We start from the raw sequence: 20,921 nt of genomic DNA, 5'->3' as shown, positions 1-20,921 counted from the left end.
TAGGCACACACTTAAAGACACACACACACTCTCATAGACACACACACACAGACACGCTCTCATAGATGCACACTCAGCACACACACTCATAGATACACACACAGTCTCATGGACACACTCTCATAGACACAGACACACTCATACAGATATACTCTCACAGACACACTCAGAAACACACTTATAGATACACACACTTTCATAGACACACACACTCATACAGACACATACACTCATAGATACACTTTCACAAACACACACTGTCAATGGTACACACAGACATTCTCTTATAGATACACAATCTCATGGACACACGCAATCGTACTGAAACACACACAGTCCTCTTTCACAGTGAAATGTAGCAAAGAAATTATTGCCCCAAATTAAACAGAAGCTCCTCCCCTGCGGCTCAGAAATTGCAGTGAGGCTTAAGATGAGCGGCTTTTCCTCACCCGATTAGTCGACACAAAAGACAGGTATTTATGGGCAGCAGGAATAGCACGATAGTAAGTAGAAGCATATACAGGTTCCTACAGAGCAAAGCAAGAGGATTTAAGATGAAGAGAAGATTTATCAGAGCGGGGCCGGGCAGGGACGTGGGGGAGGGAGAGACAAAACAATGATTTTTCTAACAGAATGTTAATTTACTCATTGCAATTTCAGTTCTCTTTTCAAGAGAGTCCTCCCTTGAATGCTAATGCTAAAGTAAATCCACACAAGCGCGGTAAATATACCTGAGTCAGCTTTGTGCAGTAATTAAATGAGTTAATTTATAGAAGATTGTCAGTTACAGAGAGAGGAACCATGACTTTCATTGACAGTTTTAACATTAAACAGAAAATATCATCTTCTTTAAAGTATCTTCATTACATGATTAAAAAATAGTTTAAGGGCACGGGCTCAGCTCTCCACTCCGGACAAAGGCTGTGTCTGGTCTGGAGATAAGAAAAGCACCAGGGAGGGTGCACGAAGGAACCACCCAGGATCAGGATTACCCACGCGAAGTGTAATTCTGGCCACCATCGAGAGGACACCTGTGTTAGAGTCAGGCTTACCCAAAGCAGATTAGAAATGGCACTATCATCCGCAACTCCTCCTTCTTCCTGCAGGTTAAAACAAACAGGGAACATGGCAGAGTACTGGAAGAGAAGAGCCTGGTCAGGGCATCGCAATCACCTTCAAGTATTTTGTGCCTGGGTTCAAACAGCAGCATGCACGTGCTCACACAATAGGGTGATGTGAACCTCAGGCCAACTCATTCCCTGACCGCAGAATGATCATCTGGAGTTTAGAGAGCATTCCCTCAGCCTTTCTCTCCCTCCCATCCTCGCACTTTAAAGTGACTTCATTCTCCTGAATTATGATCTGGAATTTCAATGGCAGCAGACACTGAGAATATAAATGTGCAGATTCACCTTTCTTAAAATTTCAGGGACTTGTTCTGGGGCTGTCATGGACACTGACCTCACAGCTGCTGAAGCACAGTGGGATATCCAGTTCCCTCTGGAACTCAGAAACAGACACAGGGTTTTAATGGCCAAGTCTATGAAGAGTTTTTTCTTCTTCGAAAAGGTCTGATTCGCTGGAAAACTATCTTCACAAAAGTTGCGGGGTCACCGTGTATGTCTTAATGCCAACTAAGCCGAAATGGGGTTGGAATTGAAAATAACTATTTGGTGAAAATAAATACAAAACCGAAAGTTAGTTGTAACAGAGAATCCTGCCAAACCACTTCTTTGAGACTTTGCTTCATTTCATTTTTCTCTCTCTGTTAAAATGAGTTACTCTGGCCTTCCCTTCCCTTCCCTCCCTTCCCCTTTCTTTCTTTCTTTCCTTCTTGCTTTGTTGCCCAGGCTGGAGTACACTGATGTGATCATGGCTCACTGCAGCCTCGACCTCAAGCAATCCTCCCACTTCAGCCTCCCGAGTAGCTGGGATTATAGGCATGCACCACCACACCTGGCAAATTTTTGTATTTTTTGGTACAGACCGGGTTTCACCATGTTGACCAAGCTAGTCTCAAACTCCTGGGCTCAAGCAGTCCTCCCACCTTGGCTCCCCACAGTACTGGGATTACAGGCATGAGCCACTACACCCAGCCCCAATATAAATCTTAATATAAAAGACCCAAAATGGGCCAGGCACAGTGGCTCATGCCTGTAATCCCAGCACCTTGGGAGGTCGAGGCAGGTGGGTCATGAGGTCAGGATATTGAGACCATCCTGGTCAGCACGGTGAAACCCCGTCTCTACTAAAAATAAAAAAAAAATAGCCGAGCATGGTGGCGGGCCCCTGTAGTCCCAGGTACTCAGCAGGCTGAGGCAGGAGAATTGCTTGAACCAGGGAGGCGGAGGCTGCAGTGAGCCAAGGCCGCGCCACTGCACTCCAGCCTGGGAGACAGAGCGAGATTCCGCCTCAAAAAAAAAAACAAAAAACAGAAAACAAAAATGAGATGCTGGCTAGAGCACCTCAAATATGTTTTCTTTTGGGACCAATGCCTTGACAGAGACAAAACAGTTATAGATTTTTCAAGGCACCCTTTAATATATTTTTAAATGTGACTCCAAGAAAATTTCAAAATGACCTGTGTGGCACACATTCTATTTTTACAGGACGGTGCTGACTTCCATGTTGCACGTGTTTTCACAGGAGCAATGGAAGGAACTTCTAGAGTCCCCTCTCTTTCCTGCCCCTTCCACATTTCCACAGACTGCACACTCACGGCAGCAGCCTCTCAGCACACAAAAGGAACGTAGGAACCGTGAAGGGCGTGATGAGCTGACCATAACGCCGGCTCCTTTCTGCCTTTGGTGCTAAAGATGGAAGGTTCCGGCACCTGCTCTCCTGGGTACCTCTCCGTCAGCAAGGCTAGAGCTACTCCGTGCAGCAAGTGCCCCTGTTCAGGCCCCACGTGTCATGACTGTCTGTCCTTCTCCAAGGCAGCATTCAGACACCCCGCAAGCAGTGGGCATGTCAAGCCTCCTCAGCTACTGGGGGAATCCCTCAAGACAGACCAGGTTTAAGGCGCCTCACCCACCACATCTGAGCACAGCCGGCGGGTGACTGAAAACAGTGCCAGCCCTCGGGAAGGAACGAACCGAGGGGTCGTCAGAGGCCGTCTGAGAAACACCTGACCTCAACAGAACCTGAGATTGCCCAGTGTGGGCTACAAAGGCCTAAAATAGATCCGCTTATTTTAGCTTCAAAGAGCTTATTGTCTCCAGCCAAAGGGAAGCAGGCCACTGAGAAGAGTGGGAGAGTTCACCGTCTGCAGAAACAGCAGCCTCCACGCGCCCAGAGGCAGCATTTCCCATTCCAGCCCTAGCCTGCTTGCAAGTCCCGGGGCTTCAGGTCACTGGATTATCAACCCCAAGGGCAACTGCAGTCAACTGGCCTCTCTTGCCTTCTAAAAACCTTAGCCAGCATTCAGGTGGTTCGGATCTCATCCTCCACTCAAAGCCTTCTGGCTTCCACACCTAAGGTGATCCTCCATTCTTCTAAGGGGGCAGTGCACCCATTTCACTATTCACCAGGAACCTCTTTTGCTTCGTGCTTTTTGGCTTCATTTAAATTTCCACTGGCTCTCTGGGACTCCCAGTTCCTGATGGGCCAGGGAGTCTCTGCACCTTCCAAAGTGATGGAGAAGGGGCCAGGCGCTGCTTGGTGCCAGGACATAGTAGTTGGCAGGTTTGCTAATGAGGAATGTGTTAAAGTCGTTTTTGAAGCAATGATTTCAAGATTCTTTTAAATAAAGTTTGTGGGTAGCAGGGATACATTATTTGACAGATGGATTTTCTTTCACTTCAGGATCTCATTTTTGAAATCTGAATTTCACACGGTGTGTGAAAAATATGCGCATGGGTATACTTTCTAAATATCTAGTTATATTTGAGAACTTTACAAATGGCTGAGGGTTAAATGTCTTTAGTTATGTTATCTTTAACACCATGTATGTCTCAAAGAAGAGAATTCAAATTGCCATTCCAGTGTAATCTAAGAAGACACAGAAGTATCAGAGGAAATAGTGTCAGAACTCCTGACTCACACTTCTATGTGCACATCTCATTTTTATGTACGTTTCTTAATGCATGAAAGTCACACTCATCATCTCTCCCTTTCACAGATGCTTAACTTATTGTAGAGCTAGAAGGGGCCTGGGGATCATCTGGTTGAAAGCATTCTTTTTCTTTTCTACTTGAAGACTTCTGATCCTAGAAAGTGACCTGGGAGTGCATCACCGGTGCATCATTTCGCCTCCAGCCAGAAGGTGCATTTGCAATTGTAGGGCCAGTCAGCAAGTAAGTCACCATCGGTTTTGAAAGTGTGCACTATCTGGTCAAAAGCTGGTCATCATCACATCTGTGATTTAACAATTCATCAATATTTTCGCATATAAATGCTTGGTAGTATTGATCACCATGCATTACCTAATTTTGTTTCAACTTATAACATACATTACTGTACATTCTCAATAAAAGGCATAGCTACTCATGAAACACGCTTAAATGATGAACTAAATACTCGTAAATCACAATTATGTGCTTATTTTTTATACTTAGGTTTAAAATCTCTGCATAGGAAACACAAGTCCGTATTTTACATGGAACTTAAAGATATTAGTGGTGAATTCAATTTTTTTCATTATAAAGGCTTTAATAACACACTAAAGCCAGACTTCATTTAGAAGGTTTTTAAACTGAAGAAGAAGTCCACACTTTAAAATTCAGGCACTTGCTTGCTGACACAGTGTGTGTGTGTTGCTGATCCCAATTCTGAAACATCTCCAGGCACAGCCTTCTGCCCAATTTTAGCTGCTCTGTGACAGGTTCTCAGTGTTTACCCTAAGGGCAAAAATGCACAAATGCTTCACAGAGTAGGAATTAGGTGGCACATGCTTGTCTTCCAAGCACTTCCAAGAGTGATGCACTTCCAAGAGTGATGTTAGTCTGAAGGCTTTTCCTAACACAGGGAATGTTACCTTCCTGACGAGGGACTGCCCTGCAGGCTGCTGGCTGGTGCCTTGCTGCCCTCCTGCCTCCTGCTGAGTCTGTTTCTCCAATCTTCCTCCCCGCTTTTCTTCAACAATGCCAATCTAGGAGGAAAACATGCCAGCCACAAAGAGTTCAGCACCAAACTCTTCCTTGTGATAGAACCATAATCTAGGTAAGTGAGGCGGCTTGGGCCAAGACACGACCACGACCACCTCATTGTAACATTTTGAATTTTATTTATTCTGAAGATAGCATGTCTGGAAAAATAATAGAGTCCCTTTTCTAAGACGGCCCCGAAGATTTTACAGTTGATTGAAACACAGAGCTGAAATCTGACTTGCTAGATAAAAGATGCACCATTATCCCAGCCAAGGAATGTTTTTCCTTGCCCTTGGGCTGAGAGCAAGAGAACCGTTCTCAGAGGAAAAAAAAAATGCCTTCTAGCGACGCCTTCTGGTCAGTTGGTGAAATAACATGAAAGGACTAAAGCTGTATCGTAGCTCCTACTTGCAGAAGAGAATGCAGACGTGGCTTAAAAACATAAAGCCATGAGGTACTAACAGTCTCTTAATATCATCCCTTTCAATTAGAGGTAAAATTTGATGTTTATGACTGTTTCTCTTCAGATATTCTAAGCCCTGTTCTTTTCCTATAAATGAATTTGGTCTTTCTAATCTGTCTTCTTTAAACAGAAACTATTTTCTACCAACCCGTTTTAAAAAAATTATCACTTCAACTTTCCTCACAGGAAAGACATATACAAAAAAGGTATCTAATTAACTGAGGTTGTTACCTAACCCACTTTAGTTCAACAATGGCATCACTAGGAATCTGCTTGAATATTGGAATCTTGAATGGTTATTTTTCACAAACATGAGGCTGTTTCAGCTAACTGTATTGTCATGAATGAAGAAATCTTAGGCATTTGCATTGAACGAACAAACATGGGAAAGATAAAAGGTAAAACAAAAAAGGTGATGATCATTAAACTCATCTGAGCTGCTGTTCAAACAATTTAAAGAGTAGGGAAAAAACCAAATAACTAGATCCCTTTCCCTCTGTGCTGGACCTGATGGGCCAGGTCTTCTCAACATCACTAATGCATAATCCATAAATGTTGTATTTTTTATTTTTATAAATTTGTTTTAGAGACAGGGTCTTACTTTTTCACCAAGGCTGGAGTGCAGCAGCATAATCATGGCTCACTGCAGCCTCGAATTCCTGGGCTCAAGTGACTCTCCCACCTCAGCCTCCAGAGTAGCTAGGATGACAGGTGTGCATCACTATGCCTGGCTAATTTTTAGAACTTTTATTTGGTAGAGACAGGGTCTTGCTCTGTTGCCTAGGCTGGCTTTGAACTCCTGGCTTCTAGCGATCCCCCTGCCTCAGCCTCCCAAAGTGTTGGGATTACAGGCATGAGACACCACGTCTGGACAACAGTGTATTTTTAAGCAGCACATCAGCTCTGGTCCCAATTTGTCCACTAACTCCCTTTGGGTATCTCGGTTCTCCCTCTCGTATCTGTCACATCAGGAACTGGACCAGATGATCTCTAAGGGCCCTTCTTGCAAGCTTCCCAATTCCCCTTAAATATTTGTTTTGGAGATGGGATGACATATATCCTATGATAAATGTTTTGTTAAGTTAATAAGAAAACAAATTTTGTTGTATTTAAGAATCCAGTGACATCTACATATGTGTACACAATTACACCTATACTTGTCTATTCACTCAGTCAAATAATGGAAAGTAAAGCCGTGAAGAAAGGAGACCCCCAAAGGAGGAAGGAGCTTCAAACTCTGGATCTGTCCCCTTCCTCAATCTCTTCCTTCTCCCCCCTTCATTTCTGTTTTCCTCTTTCTGCTAAGTGGCAGCAGATAAGATCTCAAGTGCTCAATCTCTAGAACTGGGATAAGGCTGCCTTATCAATCTCATGCAGATCCCTTTGGGTCAAGGTCTCATTTAGTCCTAACTCCTGTAATTCTCGAATGTTTAACAACACCCTGCATGCTACAAGAGCTAGTTCATGGGCTTGGACACGAAGTCTAAATTCCTTCAAGAGTTTTAATCCACACCATTTCATACTATGTAATGACTATGATTCATCTTTTCTCCTATTATTTTGAATGAGTCAGTTTTATTCTAATAAAATAATCTCACAAAATAAAATCATTAAAAGAAATTGGTATTTGCATGCTGTATTTGAGCTTTCAAAGCTCAAATCAATAAATGAGACTTTCAAAAAGTAAACATGCCAGCACTTTAATACCCAAATGAGAAGTCATTCTAGTTCATCATCTTGTGGGGCCAGACACTCATCTCACTGATATTCTCCCTGCAAACTGGCCTCAGAACCAGCTTCTCTCACTTCACCTTCGACCCAGGCCAGCAGCTACTCCTCTTGACCATCCATCTTGTTAATCAGATTGGATCTAAATGATGAATTTTTAAAAGATCAAATTCATCTTCCTGAGTTGAGTTCATTAAAAGTCATGAGCTCCGGTCTTTGAAGACCTTCTCAAAAAGAAGCTCCCAAAAGTCTGGGGCAAGGACACCAGCACCTATGTCATCGGACGGTTTCCCTGGTGGTTGCTTTGTGGCATCTAAAACTGACTTAGAAAAACACAAGCTGTGGCATCTGAGATCACCTCCTCGTCCATCTTATACTCTGCTGATCTGCACGGCGACCCCTAAGACACTGGGAATTGTTATTCCCATTGTGACGGACAAGGAATGTGGGTACATCCGGGTCAAGAATTCCATTGGCTGAGGTCACACTGGATGTTAGTGGGCAGAGAGACATGACTGCAGCCCTCGCCTGCCTGTGCGTAGCTTGTTTCACTGCGGTAGAACATTAGCTGACTGGACACATTTTTGCCACACCGTTTTAGGAAAGGCATAGGATTCTGGCTTTCTTAAAAGGTTTTTCCCACCATGGGATGGCCTCCAAAGAATTCCTCCATTCCAAAACCCTGAAATTTTGCTTCTACATGTGCTGGCAGGGTTACCATTGGGGACTTCTGAAGACTACAGAGTAACCAGAATAATCTGGAAGAAACTGTGCTTCCATGGAGCCCACCTGGCACTTGGAGCCAGCCCTTGGCTCCAGCCTACGGAGCACATGATAAATAACTCGAAAATAACATGCACTAAAACTTGAGTGTGTTCTTCCTGTCCCTTTAGATTTCCTCATTGGTGTCCACCACGCTGAGGACGGAGGGAGATCTTCCCAAATGTGTTCCTTCCTCCTGTGAGCTCACAGCCCTCCGGCTCACCGCAGACCACCAGGCTCTGAGAGGGTCGAGGAGCCGACGTCTGGGCCTACGCAGGACATAAATTCCTGCCGGTGCAATTCAAACAACTGTCAGTGCTTCTAACAACTGCCAAGCCGAAGTGCTGTTTGCAGGACTGTGATGCTGGGAGCCTGGGCAGCGGGTTGGCCTGGGCTGTGTGAACCCAGGGAGAGGCATGACACTGGCCTGCTCACCCAACGCCTGGCCCTGGGCCACCGTGACAGGTGCCTGCCAGGACACCCGGGGAAACGGTGCCTCCTCTTCCATAGCCCACACTGTTCCAGCAGGGAATGCTGGCCTGAGAGCCCTGCTTGGTGAGAACAAGGACTTCAGGCTCAGAGCAGTCAGGGCTGGGTCAAACAGGAGACATGACAACCATGTGCCCCTAATATTAAATAAGGTGTGTTTTCTCTCTCTTTTTCAGAATTTTCCCTTCATTTTAGAGAATTACAGGCACCCCATAGATCTCAGATAGGGCTGAACAGCACACATAAGTACTTATATTAGATCTTGGTCTTGGCTGGTTCACAAACTGGAGACGTGAACAAACTAAAGTGTCTTTTAAGTGGGAGATAAATCAAACATCTGAAAAGCAGGGCCAGGTGTGGTGGCTCACACCTGTAATCCCAGCACCTTGGGAGGCTGAGGTGGGAGGATCGCTTGAGGCTAGGAGGTGGAGACCAGCCTGGGCCACAGAGCAAAACTCTGTCTTTACAAAAAAATAGAAATAATAAATCAGCTGAGCATGGTGGTGTGTGCAGGTAGTCCCCAGCTACTTGGGAGGCTGAAGCGGGAGGATCATTTGAGTCCCAGGAGGCTGAGGCTGCAGCGAGCTATGATCACACCACTGCACTCCAGTCTGGGTAACAGAACAAGACTCTGCCTAGAAAAAGAAGAGAAAAAAGAAAAGAAAAGAAAGAGAGCAAAGGGGAATTGCAACTCTATTCTTATTCCCACATAAATCTGGGGCCCTCTAGGTGGCTGAAATATCCCAGCTACAAGGTAAGAACCTGGCGTTTGTGGAGACATGGAGATAGCCTCTGGCTGGGTGGGATATGGAAGGGTGGATGGTTGGGGTGGGGGCCGGCAGGCAGGAAACACAGGAGCCTCCAGCCGGTCCCTCTAGGGCAGAACGCCACAGAGGTGTGAGGTGGATTCTTCAACAGTTCAGGGAGTTCCACGAAGTCCTAACACGCCACCAACTTCCCAAAGTGAAACAATGGCTCTTGTATTCTTTTCCAATGTTCTTCTTCGCCAAATAAGAAAGCTCAGATGCCACTGTTTCTGACATTGTGGAAATAAGATTTCTAAAGGCCTAATGTACTCTTTAAGCAATAGTAAAGGTTTTATCCCTAAATAACGTAAGAATTATTTAATTCACAATCTTTCTCAAAGAAGTTCCCAAACAGGGATAATTTAAACACAAATAATTTAGACAGTTATAAAACAACGATTTTACTAATCCAGTGGGAAAGTCGGTTGCATCCTATGTTTTATGCTGGTTATGGTTCAAATTTGACATTCACAATGTCAGAAAAGATGAAAACAGAAAAATAACTTTTTGGTATATTTTCTTGAGCAGCAAACATTTTCTAAAAAAGGAGGGTGTGGAGGGTTTCCTATAATTTCTTAATTTCTCCACTTTTTGTCTCCAAGTGGGGATAATATTGCTTTCTTCTGAAGGCTGTCTTCAACATCAAATGAGATATCGTGCAAAATGTGGAAGGCAGTCTGTGATGCTGGGTAGCACTGAGCATGGAGCATTCAATATAGTCAGGCCCCGGACAGGGGAGAGACTGACGCAACAAGGCTGAAGAAGACAGACCTGCCCTCCTTAGCGGGCGCAGCCATTTATAAAAAACGATAAAGGAAATCTGTAAATTCCAGGCTCTATTTCTTAGACTCTGAAATGTGAATGTGGATGTGTAATTTTAAATAAGCCCTGTTAAGAGCATGTGAACTGAGAAAATTCATGAAGAAAGAGGGTGTGTTTTTCTAACTTGCTGTCTAGCTGGAATTTCTGTCCTTTTACCATATTCTCCTGTTTAGAGCACACGGGGTTGGCTGCTGTAACACTAATCTGAGCACACCACGGTCTCGCCATGGACCAGGGGAGAGATGGAGACGTGGCACCTGGGTCAGTTCTATTCACTACGTGGCCCTGGAGGCTACTGGAGCCGAATCCCTCCTTTAGTAAAATGAGGCAGTCAGAGGTGTGTAGAATAAAGTTTGAAAGTCCTATGATTTTATATATTTCTTTCTCAAGAAAGAAAAGTAAAGCCCAAATGTAGGAATAACATTCTTATTTTAAATAGTTTAAGCTTCATTATTTCATTTTCACAAAAGGGAGAGATGAAAGTCTCATTTAGGAAAAAGCTATCACAGATAAATTGTAAAAATCTGTGGTTTAGGCTGGGTGTAGTGGCTCATGCCTGTAATTACAGCACTATGGGAGGCTGAGGCTGAGGATCACCTGAGGTCAGGAGTTCCAGACCAGCCTAGCCAACATGGTGAAACCCCGTCTCTACTAAAAATACAAAAATTAGCTGGATGTGGTGGTGCATGCCTGTAATCCCAGCTACTTGGGTGGTTGAGGCAGGAGAATCACTTGAACCCGGGAGGCGGAGGTTGCAGTGAGCCGAGATTACTCCACTGCACTCCGGCCTGGGTGACAGAGAGAGACTCTGTCTCAAAATAAATAAATTAAAATAAAAAGAAATAAGAAAATTGGGTTTTTTGTCTTTCACAGAGAGTCCTAAACATTGACAGAATCATTCCACTTCACAGCCGTTCCCCATCTGCACCCATCCTACCTGGACACAAGGCCATGCCCCATCTATACCTGTCCTACCTGGACACGAGGCCATGCCCCATCTATACCTGTCCTACCTGGACACGAGGCCACTGACTTGCCTTTGAAAACTCTGGGGGAGAGCCGATGCGAGCACAGCGTGGACCACCTCATTTCCAGGTACCGTGAACTATTAATTTTCTTTTCTTTTTTTTTTTTTGATATTGCCCTTTTTTTTTTTTTAAGATAGAATCTCACTCTGTCACCCAGGCTGGAGTGCAATGGCACAATCTTAGCTCACTGCAACCTCTGACTCCCAGGTTCACGCAATTCGCTGCCTCAGCCTCCCAAGTAGCTGGGATTACAGGTGCCTGCCACCATGCCCAGCTAATTTTTGTATTTTTAGTAGAGACCTGGTTTCACCGTCTTGGCCAGGCTGTTTTTGAACTCTGGACCTCGTGATCCACCCGCCTCGGCCTCCCAAAGTGCTGGGATTACAGGCGTAAGCCACCGCACCTGGCCTAATTTTCATTTTTTTTTTTTTTGAGACGGAGTCTCGCTCTGTCGCCCAGGCTGGAGTGCAGTGGCACGATCTCGGCTCACCGCAAGCTCCACCTACCAGGTTCATGCCATTCTCCTGTCTCAGCCTCCCGTAGCTGGGATTACAGGTGCCCGCCACCATGCCCGACTAATTTTTTGTATTTTTAGTAGAGATGGGATTTCACCGAGTTAGCCAGGATGGTCTCGATCTCCTAACCTCGTAATACACCCGCCTCGGCCTCCCAAAGTGCTGGGATTACAGGCGTGAGCCACCGCGCCCGGCCCAATTTTCTTTTTGATATGAAATCTCATCTGCCTCCTTGTAATTCTACACGTTATTCTTACTTTTGGCCTCTGGAGCAACATAGAATAAACCTGTATTCCGGCTGACAGTGTTGTCAGTTCTTGAAAATTGCCACATGTATCTGTCTGGGTTTCCTTCACCAAGCCAAATCCCCTGAGTCTTTCAGACATTCACCCTCATCAGACTGTGTCTCGGCCTATCACCCGTTCAGTTCCTCAGGATATATTCCAATTCGTCAGCGGGACTTTTTAACTGGATTTACTTTCTATTAAAAGAATATGTTTTTTGTTCTAATTTCTCTGGGGCATGATTTTTGCTTTTTCTTTCAGAGTAGAAAAAAATCTGCCCTTCCATCAAATCTGTTTCTTCCACTGGAAGGTTTCCACAGCTCAGTCAGGATGAAGACATTTTGTGAGCTGAGACTAATGATCATTCCTTGTGCTAGTGTTACAGTTACAAAGACCAAGCAATGTTTACATCATTTCACAGGCAAAACTAGGGGGAATTGGTATACAGTTGGTGCAGACATTTTACCGCATGTGCGCCTTGACCAGTGGAAATAGTAATTCACCAAACACGTGTGAGTGCCCGCTTGGGGAAGAAGAAAGATGGTCACGATAAAGTCTGCGTGGGCTGTTCTTAGCCCAGCAGGAAGCTACAAGATGTTAAATGTAAAAGCCCTAATACTGGGAAGCATCAGGAGACCTGGGGCAGCCTCCAGAGGCAGCAGGAGTGGGTGGACAGAGAAGAGATGGGGGTATGGTCAGAACTCACTGCCCTTGGAGAAGGTTAAACAGAGAAAAGAGATGAGGGAAGGTCGATTTTATGTTCCCTGTCTCACTTGCCACACCCAGCCTCTGGCGAAAACCTGAGGATGCCTAAAATTAAAGGGCAAGAAGGAGCAGAAAGGTAAGGATTAAAAATGCATGGATGCATGGAGAGAGGGGGAAGGGAATTGAAGCTAATTCTGGGAGGAGGCAGGAAGGGCCGAAAGGAGACTGTAAGCTGGAGGTTAGGGAGAGAGTTCTGCTCAAGGAAATTCGGACAACACAATACGCATCTACCCAGACATGGTTGGTCACTTAGGAACAGCCTTACCTTTAGGAAGTGCAACTAAAAGCTGAGCATCGATTCCTCTTTCGTGGTTAGCGAGCTGTTCTTTATCTTCGAGTGAGAACTCCTTCTGCAAGTGAAACATTACTCCATTAATAAAGTTAAGTCCATTTAAATCAAGATATGAAATTAAGTAGAAAAATGCAGAACATAAAAATTATGCCATTGTAGATTGCAAGTAAAACATTTTATATTGGGGAGTAAATTGGTAGCTTTTTTCATTTACTTATATTTCAGTAAATATTGTGACTTTTTGTGCAACTAAGTAATTACAGCAGGATTGGCCGGTGGTGTGGTGTGTGGGGGTGAAAACATTGCTGAACTGGAAGTTGTATGCTTTAGCTCAGACTGACCCCCTCTTCTCGACCTAGGAATAGCTGTGCAAGCTGGATTCATTACCCAATCTCTTTGTGCTACAATTTCTTCTTCAGAAAATCAACAACTTGTCTAGGTGATCTACACGCTGTCCTCCAGTGTTAAAATTATGTTAAAGTAACAGATGCCTTCAAACAACCAAGACGGCAAAGCATGGTCAAAAGTTTGGAAAGCCTCATGAAGACTCGTGTTGGAATAAAAGAGGAAATGAAATGGGCGAATAATAAAGGAAGTGAGCCCTTACTGTGGCCTTTCCCCCATGTTAAGCACACCCCATGTATCTCCTTAATTATCTCCCCAAGACCCTAAGAGGCATGAACTACTCCGTGGTGTGGTTATAAAGGTACAAATGGCCCTGCCCTCTTGCCCCGCCCACCCAGGCCCTCCACCTGGCCCTGCAAAAAGCACCTGCTTTGTAATATTGACTGGTGGTGTCAACACTCCCACCCACCATGGTGGATCTCAGGCTCCCACAGGACTCACTGAACTCAAAGTCGGGAGAGAGGCACACATGTCTGGCCGCAGCACAACACTGGAACTAGTACCATCCTCAGTTTACAGATCTGGAAATTGTTACATGATTTGCCCAAAGACTCACATTTGACAAGAAGAGGAGATGAGATTCAAATCCATCTCCTAGTTTCATACTAGGCACAGTCACCCCAAGACTGCTGTGTACCCACCTCCATGGTCTTTGATGTGGCCAGAGCAAGCAGGGCAGAGGGTGCTGCTGCCTCGAAGGAAGAAAAGAAACCTGTGGAAACAGGGAACTGCAGTTCCTCAAGGTCAGTGTGACCTCCAGAGGGGGAAAAGATGGGCTTGAAAAAGACTCACTGTGAAGCTGACCTTCCCGCTGTACGGGTGCATTTCCATAGAGGCCAAGGAAGAGACCGAGGAAGCCGCTGTGCATACTGTGTAAGTGGGACAGTTGAATAACCTCTACCCCCTGTATAAACTACACAGAAAGAACTTCCACACAGTCTAAAGCACGGCCACCATCCCGCCCTCCTAGAACCAAGCCCATCTGAAATCTTTGTCTTTCCATATACAATGTAGCAAAGCTTACATTCCATAGGTAAGTGTGTTCACATTATTTAATGAAAAGTCTTGAGAATAATTAGGCTTCATAAGCCACTCTCTAGATTGGCTGGAAGAGCCTAGGACACCTGCCTAGTCAGAAACTTAGAATTAACACCGACTTCTAGACACTGAATTGTAAGGCAGTAACTACTCCTTTCAGTGTAGAAACCTAAAAAAATTAAATAGTGGCAGAAATGTACTCGACTTAAGGAATGGCATGTTATTTTAACTGATTATTTAATTGCTAATTTAAATATCTTGACTAAGCTCTGTACTTTGGGAAACTAACATCTTTTCAGGAAAAAACATCTACATTAGAATTAAATAATGTAATCCTTGAAATATTCAGCTTGTTGGGCCACTGACCTTGAGGTACAAATGCTATCTCTTATTTTCAAAAATAAACCTCTGTATGTCTTTGTTTTCCTCTTTCTTTCTGTTTCTCAGAAAGCTCAATGGAGCCACTAATGAAAAGCAAGAAAGTGTCCCTGAGTTAAATACTCCGCTGAATTTACAGAGTGAGCTTTACGAGTCATCACCGGACACTCCCTGGCTTCACAGGCACTTATTTTCTCGAAACACATTACAAATAGTGCCAGCACCCATGTGAAGTGCAGCCTTTTGATGGCAGGTCAGAAACCAAAGAAAACCAAAGCTCTAAGAGGAAAGTCTCTGATGCTTCTTAACGTGGTTCACTCGACATGCTGTTTCCTCCCCCTGAGCTCTCTCCTCTCCAGCCTCCTGCCATCGTGTGGCTTCGTCTCACTCTTCGTCTGGGCCTCAGTTGACTGGTCGTGTCCTCAGGGCAGAGCACCCGGACCCACTGCCTATTCGACCAGAAACAAAAGTATATTACACACCTTGGTAATCCCAGCACTTTGTGGGGGCTGAGGCAGGAGGATTGTTTGAGCCCAGGAGTTCGAAACCAGCCTGGGCAACATAGCAAGATCCCATTTCTGCAAAAAAAAAAAAGAAAGAAAGAAAGAAAGAAAAAATAGCCAGGCACAGTGGTGCATGCCTATAGTCCCAGCTACTCAGGAGGCTGAGGTGGCAGGAACCATTAAGCCTAGGAGTTTGAAGCTGCAATGAGCTATGATTATGACACTGTGCTCCAGCCTGGGTGACAGAGTGAGAATTTGTCTCTTAAAAAATTAATTAAATTATTGAATTAAATATTATTTTTAAAAAATTAAAATATGCCGAATGAATGACTACTACAAAACACTTCAAATGAATACCCTGAAGTATTTTTTGTGTACCTTTTTTGCAAAGTTGATGTGATGGCCAGAGGTAAAATCATTACAAACATTAAGAATAACTAGAAAAGCATACAGTCAATAACATTAGTCATAAGCTCCTCCTCCCTCCCTTCCTTCTCACCCTCCCTCCTTTCCTTTCTTCCTTTCTTTCCTTCTTTCATCTTTGGACAGGACATAATTTGGAACACCTCATTCTTTAGTACCTTTGCTCACCTTGCATACATGTGTGAAAAACTGGCATAATTGTACATATTTATAAAGTATTGATTTTAGAATCTGCAGCTTCCAGGTAAACATTTATTACTGAGTCCACACGGCTGTCATCACCCTCTGGTCCTGTCTCCACTGCCTCTCTCCCCTGCTCCCGCTAAATGACTGGGGGCTTCTGAGAAAGCAGATGAGCAGACAGGAAGAGCTGGAGCAGGCAGACTGGGCTGGAAAGTGTGGCTCTGGCTCAAGGTGGTGCCACAAGCTGTGATTGATGCAAGACCCCTCAAATCAATAAATGAAATCAAGTTTCTCTCTCTCTTTTTTTTTTTTTTGAGGGAATCTTGCTCTGTTGCCTTGCCCAGGCTGGAGTGCAGTGGCATGATCTCGGCTCACTACAACTTCCACCTCCCAGGTTCAAGCAATTCCCCTGCCTCAGCCTCCCGAGTAACTGGGACTACAGGCACGCACCAGGGTGCCCAGCTAATTTTTGTATTTTTAGTAGAGATGGGGTTTCACCATGCTGGCCAGGATGGTCTCGATCTCTTGTCCTTGTGATCCACCTGCCTTGGCTTCCCAAAGTGCTGGGATTACAGGCGTGAGCCACCACACCTGGCCCAAGTTTCTTTCTTTCTTTTTTTTTTTTTTAAATAATGTTTCTTCCCTGAACTTTCTTTACCTGAGGGCACTGATCATCAGTGAAATTACAGGTAAGACGCGCTCATAAAATTCAGGACGGTTCATCAGTGAGCACCTCTTTTGGCTCATCTGACGCTGATGAAACACAAGCACCTGTGAGGGTCTGGACTCTCCTCTCCTCTCTGCTTCTTCTGACTCAGAGGCCCCCCAGCAGGAGACTGGTAGGGCCCATTACTAACGCACACAACTGGTGACCCCAAAAGCAGGGAGCTCTCGGATGCTGGATCCTGCCCTTCCTCCTCAGTCACCCCCCAACCTCAACCTCCCGAGGGACAAAGGGGTGTCTGCATGGATAATCTCTGCAGGCCTTGGTGTCTCACTACAGCTCAACCCAAAGTAAGAGCCTATGTTTCAGTAGGGAAGCATCTCTCCATAGATACTAAAGTAAATGCTATCCACTTCATTTTCTGTATTTTGATTTTAACTTTCTAACAGTGAGAAACATCTTTCAGATTTTGATCCAACTCTTTGTCTCCCCTGAAACAGTGCTCGTTCTTTAGGACTGATTGTGCCACCACCCCCCTTCCTCTGCTTCAATAATCTAAGAGAATGCCCCCGCTTCCGTGGCAATTTTTCTTTAAAATGTGTCCCATTGGCCAGGCGCGGTGACTCACACCTGTAATCCCAGCACTTTGGGAGGCTGAGGCAGGTGGATCACGAGGTCAAGAGATCGAGACCATCCTGGCCAACATGATGAAACCCATCTCTACTAAAAATACAAAAATTAGCTGGGCATGGTGGCACACGCCTGTAGTCCCAGCTACTCAGGAGGCTGAGGCAGGAGAATCGCTTGAACCTGGGAGGTGGAGGTTGCAGTGAGCCGAGGTCACGCCATTGCACTCCAGCCTGGCAACAGAGCGAAATTCCATCTCAAAAAAAAAAAAAATTATGTGTTCAATTAACCTACTTAAATCACTACCCATAGCAACACGGGGGAATTTTATTAAAGGGAGAGCAGGATACTCTGCTGTTATCATCTCTGTTTTTTACAATGTGGAATATTATTACAAGGGCTATCCAGGACCCACACAGGGACTGTCCAGCACCCACCTCCACAATCTGCTCATTCCACTACTGAAATTTAAATTAGAAGATATGGGAGACGAAGCCCCATTAGCTCATATTTTCGTCTCTTTTAGCTGGTGTCTGGTTGACCAGATTTTTTTTAAGGAAGCAGGCTCTTGTACCTCCAGCCCATTTCACACTTAGCACCATGGCACACAGGCTGTCATTTTAATAGGTATGCATGACATACTGTCCATGATTTGAGAATAGCTGTGTCTCTTTGAGTCTCTGTCCACTGACGTGTGTGACTTTCATATTGCATGCTTTTCCTGTCCTTGAATGAGGAATGCCTTCCTGTCTCTTTTTCCCTTAGTCACTTATTAGCTCCATGACAGTTAAACCAACCTGCTAGGGACATATTAGAAACCAAGCCTCAGATCCTATTAAAACACGGCCAAGATGAGAAATACGGATGCATCCCATTAAAAAAGTAACATTTCGTGAGTCAGTTAAGACAACCTCACTGATGACCCTGGATCATCATTGCTCTAATTAACCTTGTACTTAGATGTGCCGCTTGATGATATTGTGTGTAAAAATTAAAGCATAAACACTTAAAAGATGTGGAGGAAATACACCAAGGATTTGTCCCATCCAGTGTGTTTACAAGATCAACTGCCATTTTCAAATGCAGAGCAGGCTCAGCCTGAGGAGGACAGGAGTTAGACCCCTGTCTATCCTAATGTTGTTGAAATGCAAACCCTTTTTGGTCAAGGAACAATGTCATAATACCTTAGGCACAAGAGCAACTGTGTGGAAATGGGGGCTGGGTCCTTCCGCTATAATGAAGCACAGATTGAGATCTTTGCCTGACTGTGTAGGGGACAACTTTGTGCCTCCATTTGAAAATATCAAACTCCATTAATGACAGTGATCTACTAAGAAGCACCTGAGATACAGCTACTGTGTATGGCACAGGCATTCATTTCCACACTTCCTCACATCTATGATGATGTGTCATGGAGTTTTAGCACATTAGGCAAATCAAATTAGCACCCATAATATTCTGCAGCCAAGGGGACTGGAAGTACAGAAAGATTGAGTTGGGAAAACCAGGGAACAAGAACTCACATGGATGGATGGGTGGATGGATGGATGGATGGGTGGATGGATGGATGGATGGGTGGATGGATGGATGGATGAGTGGATGGAGAAAGGGAGGGAGGGAGGAGGGAAAAGAAGGAGGGAGGGAAGGAGAAAGGGAGGAGGAACAAGTCTAAACCATTTCTGCAAAGAATCTAGCTCCCTTCTTTGATGGACAGATTGCAAAAGGATAGTGCCTGCTTAGAGGCAGGTGTGAGAAAGAAAAGATAATAGCCCTTTAAAAGTTTGCAATGACAAGAGACACCAAGATTCTGTTCTCCAAATCACTTCCGTAAACCGAATTAAATACAAAAAGAATTCTTTGCTTCATACATTTTAATAAATCAAATTCTAGGGAGAAAACATATTGCCAAACATTGAAACTTAAGAGTTAGATATTCAAGAGAATAATTTTAAAAGCTACGACAAATCTTCAAAATTTAACAGTCCTTGAGACAAGGCTACTTTATCTTGAAACTTTCCTTTGACATGGGAATCCAATGAAGCTTAAGTTTTTATTGTTGAAATCTAAGGGAAAAGAAATAATATAACATTGAAATAGTTACACAAAATGTTAAAAATCCAATGAGAAAAAATTCCCCAAACTCTCTCTGAACATACAATTTAGGAAAAAGGAAACCATTAACCAGATAAAAACTAGAAATACAAAAATGACACCTTCCAAGAATCAAATTCCACATGGAAATTTACATAGGCAAGTTTTTTTTTCCTCTTCTCAAAAGTAGCCAACTTTACTAAATGGGTAAAACTAATAATAACACAAATAATAATAATTCACACATAGTTCAATGCTATCATTTGAATTTGTCCTGGCAACAAGAATACCTCAAAGCAATTAAGTACTGAATAGTTCCATACTCAGGAATAAAGGAGAAAATAGGAAATTTTGGTCATGGTAACTAGGAATGTTTGAGATGCCTTTAAAGCATGGGAGTGGGGACTGAAGACCAAAAAACAACTCAGCTGTGTCTTTTGCTTTCATTAAAATCAAACAATAACAACCAATAAAAATAACCATTTATTTATTTTTGAAGACAACGTATATTATGTAAAGAAAGCTGGTAACAATTCTATACAGGAAAAACACATCCCAAGTGAACAGGTTAATCAAAACCACAGACAAAATTTATAAGCAGTCTAATGGCATGTAATCTGTTTTACATCCATAGGAACAATTTGCCCACTAAGAAAACCACAAATAGACCACTTACAGAAACTCCTTCCCCTAAGGAAGTGCCTTTGGCTGTTCAATAGTTACAGGCAGAAGCCTGAAGAAAAAGAAGTACAAAATATATCAGACGTCGACGCTTTATTATCCATCAAAATACAGCCTCGATCTTGGAATTTGGAACTGTGGCCAACTAAAGAAATACAGTAAAATGAGAAGTATAATGCCAGTAAAACATCTAAGCTTTTCTCCTAATTATACAAGTATCTTGTTATGTATTTAGCCAAAGAGAAATCAATTCAGAAAGCTTTCAAGTGCTGTAGGAGAAAATTCCTGAATCTGAGGTCCGAATTGTTCAAGTCACTTCCCAATAGTGCATTTGAGCTGGAAAGCAGTTCTGATGTATAATGGCTGAGTTTCAAATATGATACTCAAAATAACCTTAGCGTTTCATTTTTGTTCAATCAGTGAACTGAACATGCCACACCACTTCAGTAGTTACATTGAAAGCATGTATTTTCCTCTGTGCTGGAAGAAAGCCACTGAAAAGACAGTATCTTGTTCCAAACTGTCTCACATGAAGAATTAATAAAAAGACGCTACTCACCACTGCCTACTGGAAATAATTTAGTATGTATAGCATTTGATTTAGAAAACTATTTTAGCTAAAGTGCAGCACAACTAGAATTTGATCCAAAGTGTGGGCATTCCAACTGCATTTGCAATTTTTCCTACAAAAAGGTTTCAGTGGTTTAGTAGTAACTTTAACTTACTAAAGGAAAAAAATTCACATTATCAACAATCACAAATAAGCTCAGTTAGATATTTAAAGTGTCTTTTGAGAAACGTGTATAAGTAACTGGACACAGGAGAATACACAGGGCAAAATAGAGGACCCCAAGCATTCATTATGTTATAAAATCCATACATATGCA

General features: G+C 43.6%; 1 annotated feature.

The window, feature by feature from the left end:
• Positions 14,231 to 15,430: an enhancer, noted in NCBI's record as "CDK7 strongly-dependent group 2 enhancer chr10:30950154-30951353 (GRCh37/hg19 assembly coordinates)". NCBI's record gives its function as "activates an origin of replication core promoter dependent on BRD2, BRD4, P300/CBP, MED14 and CDK7 cofactors, with strong dependence on CDK7, by STARR-seq in HCT116 cells {active_cell/tissue: HCT116}" and the evidence as "EXISTENCE:reporter gene assay evidence [ECO:0000049][PMID:35650434]".

Source organism: Homo sapiens, chromosome 10 (genome assembly GCF_000001405.40).
Source record: "Homo sapiens chromosome 10, GRCh38.p14 Primary Assembly".
NCBI classification, from domain to species: domain Eukaryota; kingdom Metazoa; phylum Chordata; class Mammalia; order Primates; family Hominidae; genus Homo; species Homo sapiens.
This window is presented reverse-complemented; position numbering and strand designations above follow the sequence as displayed.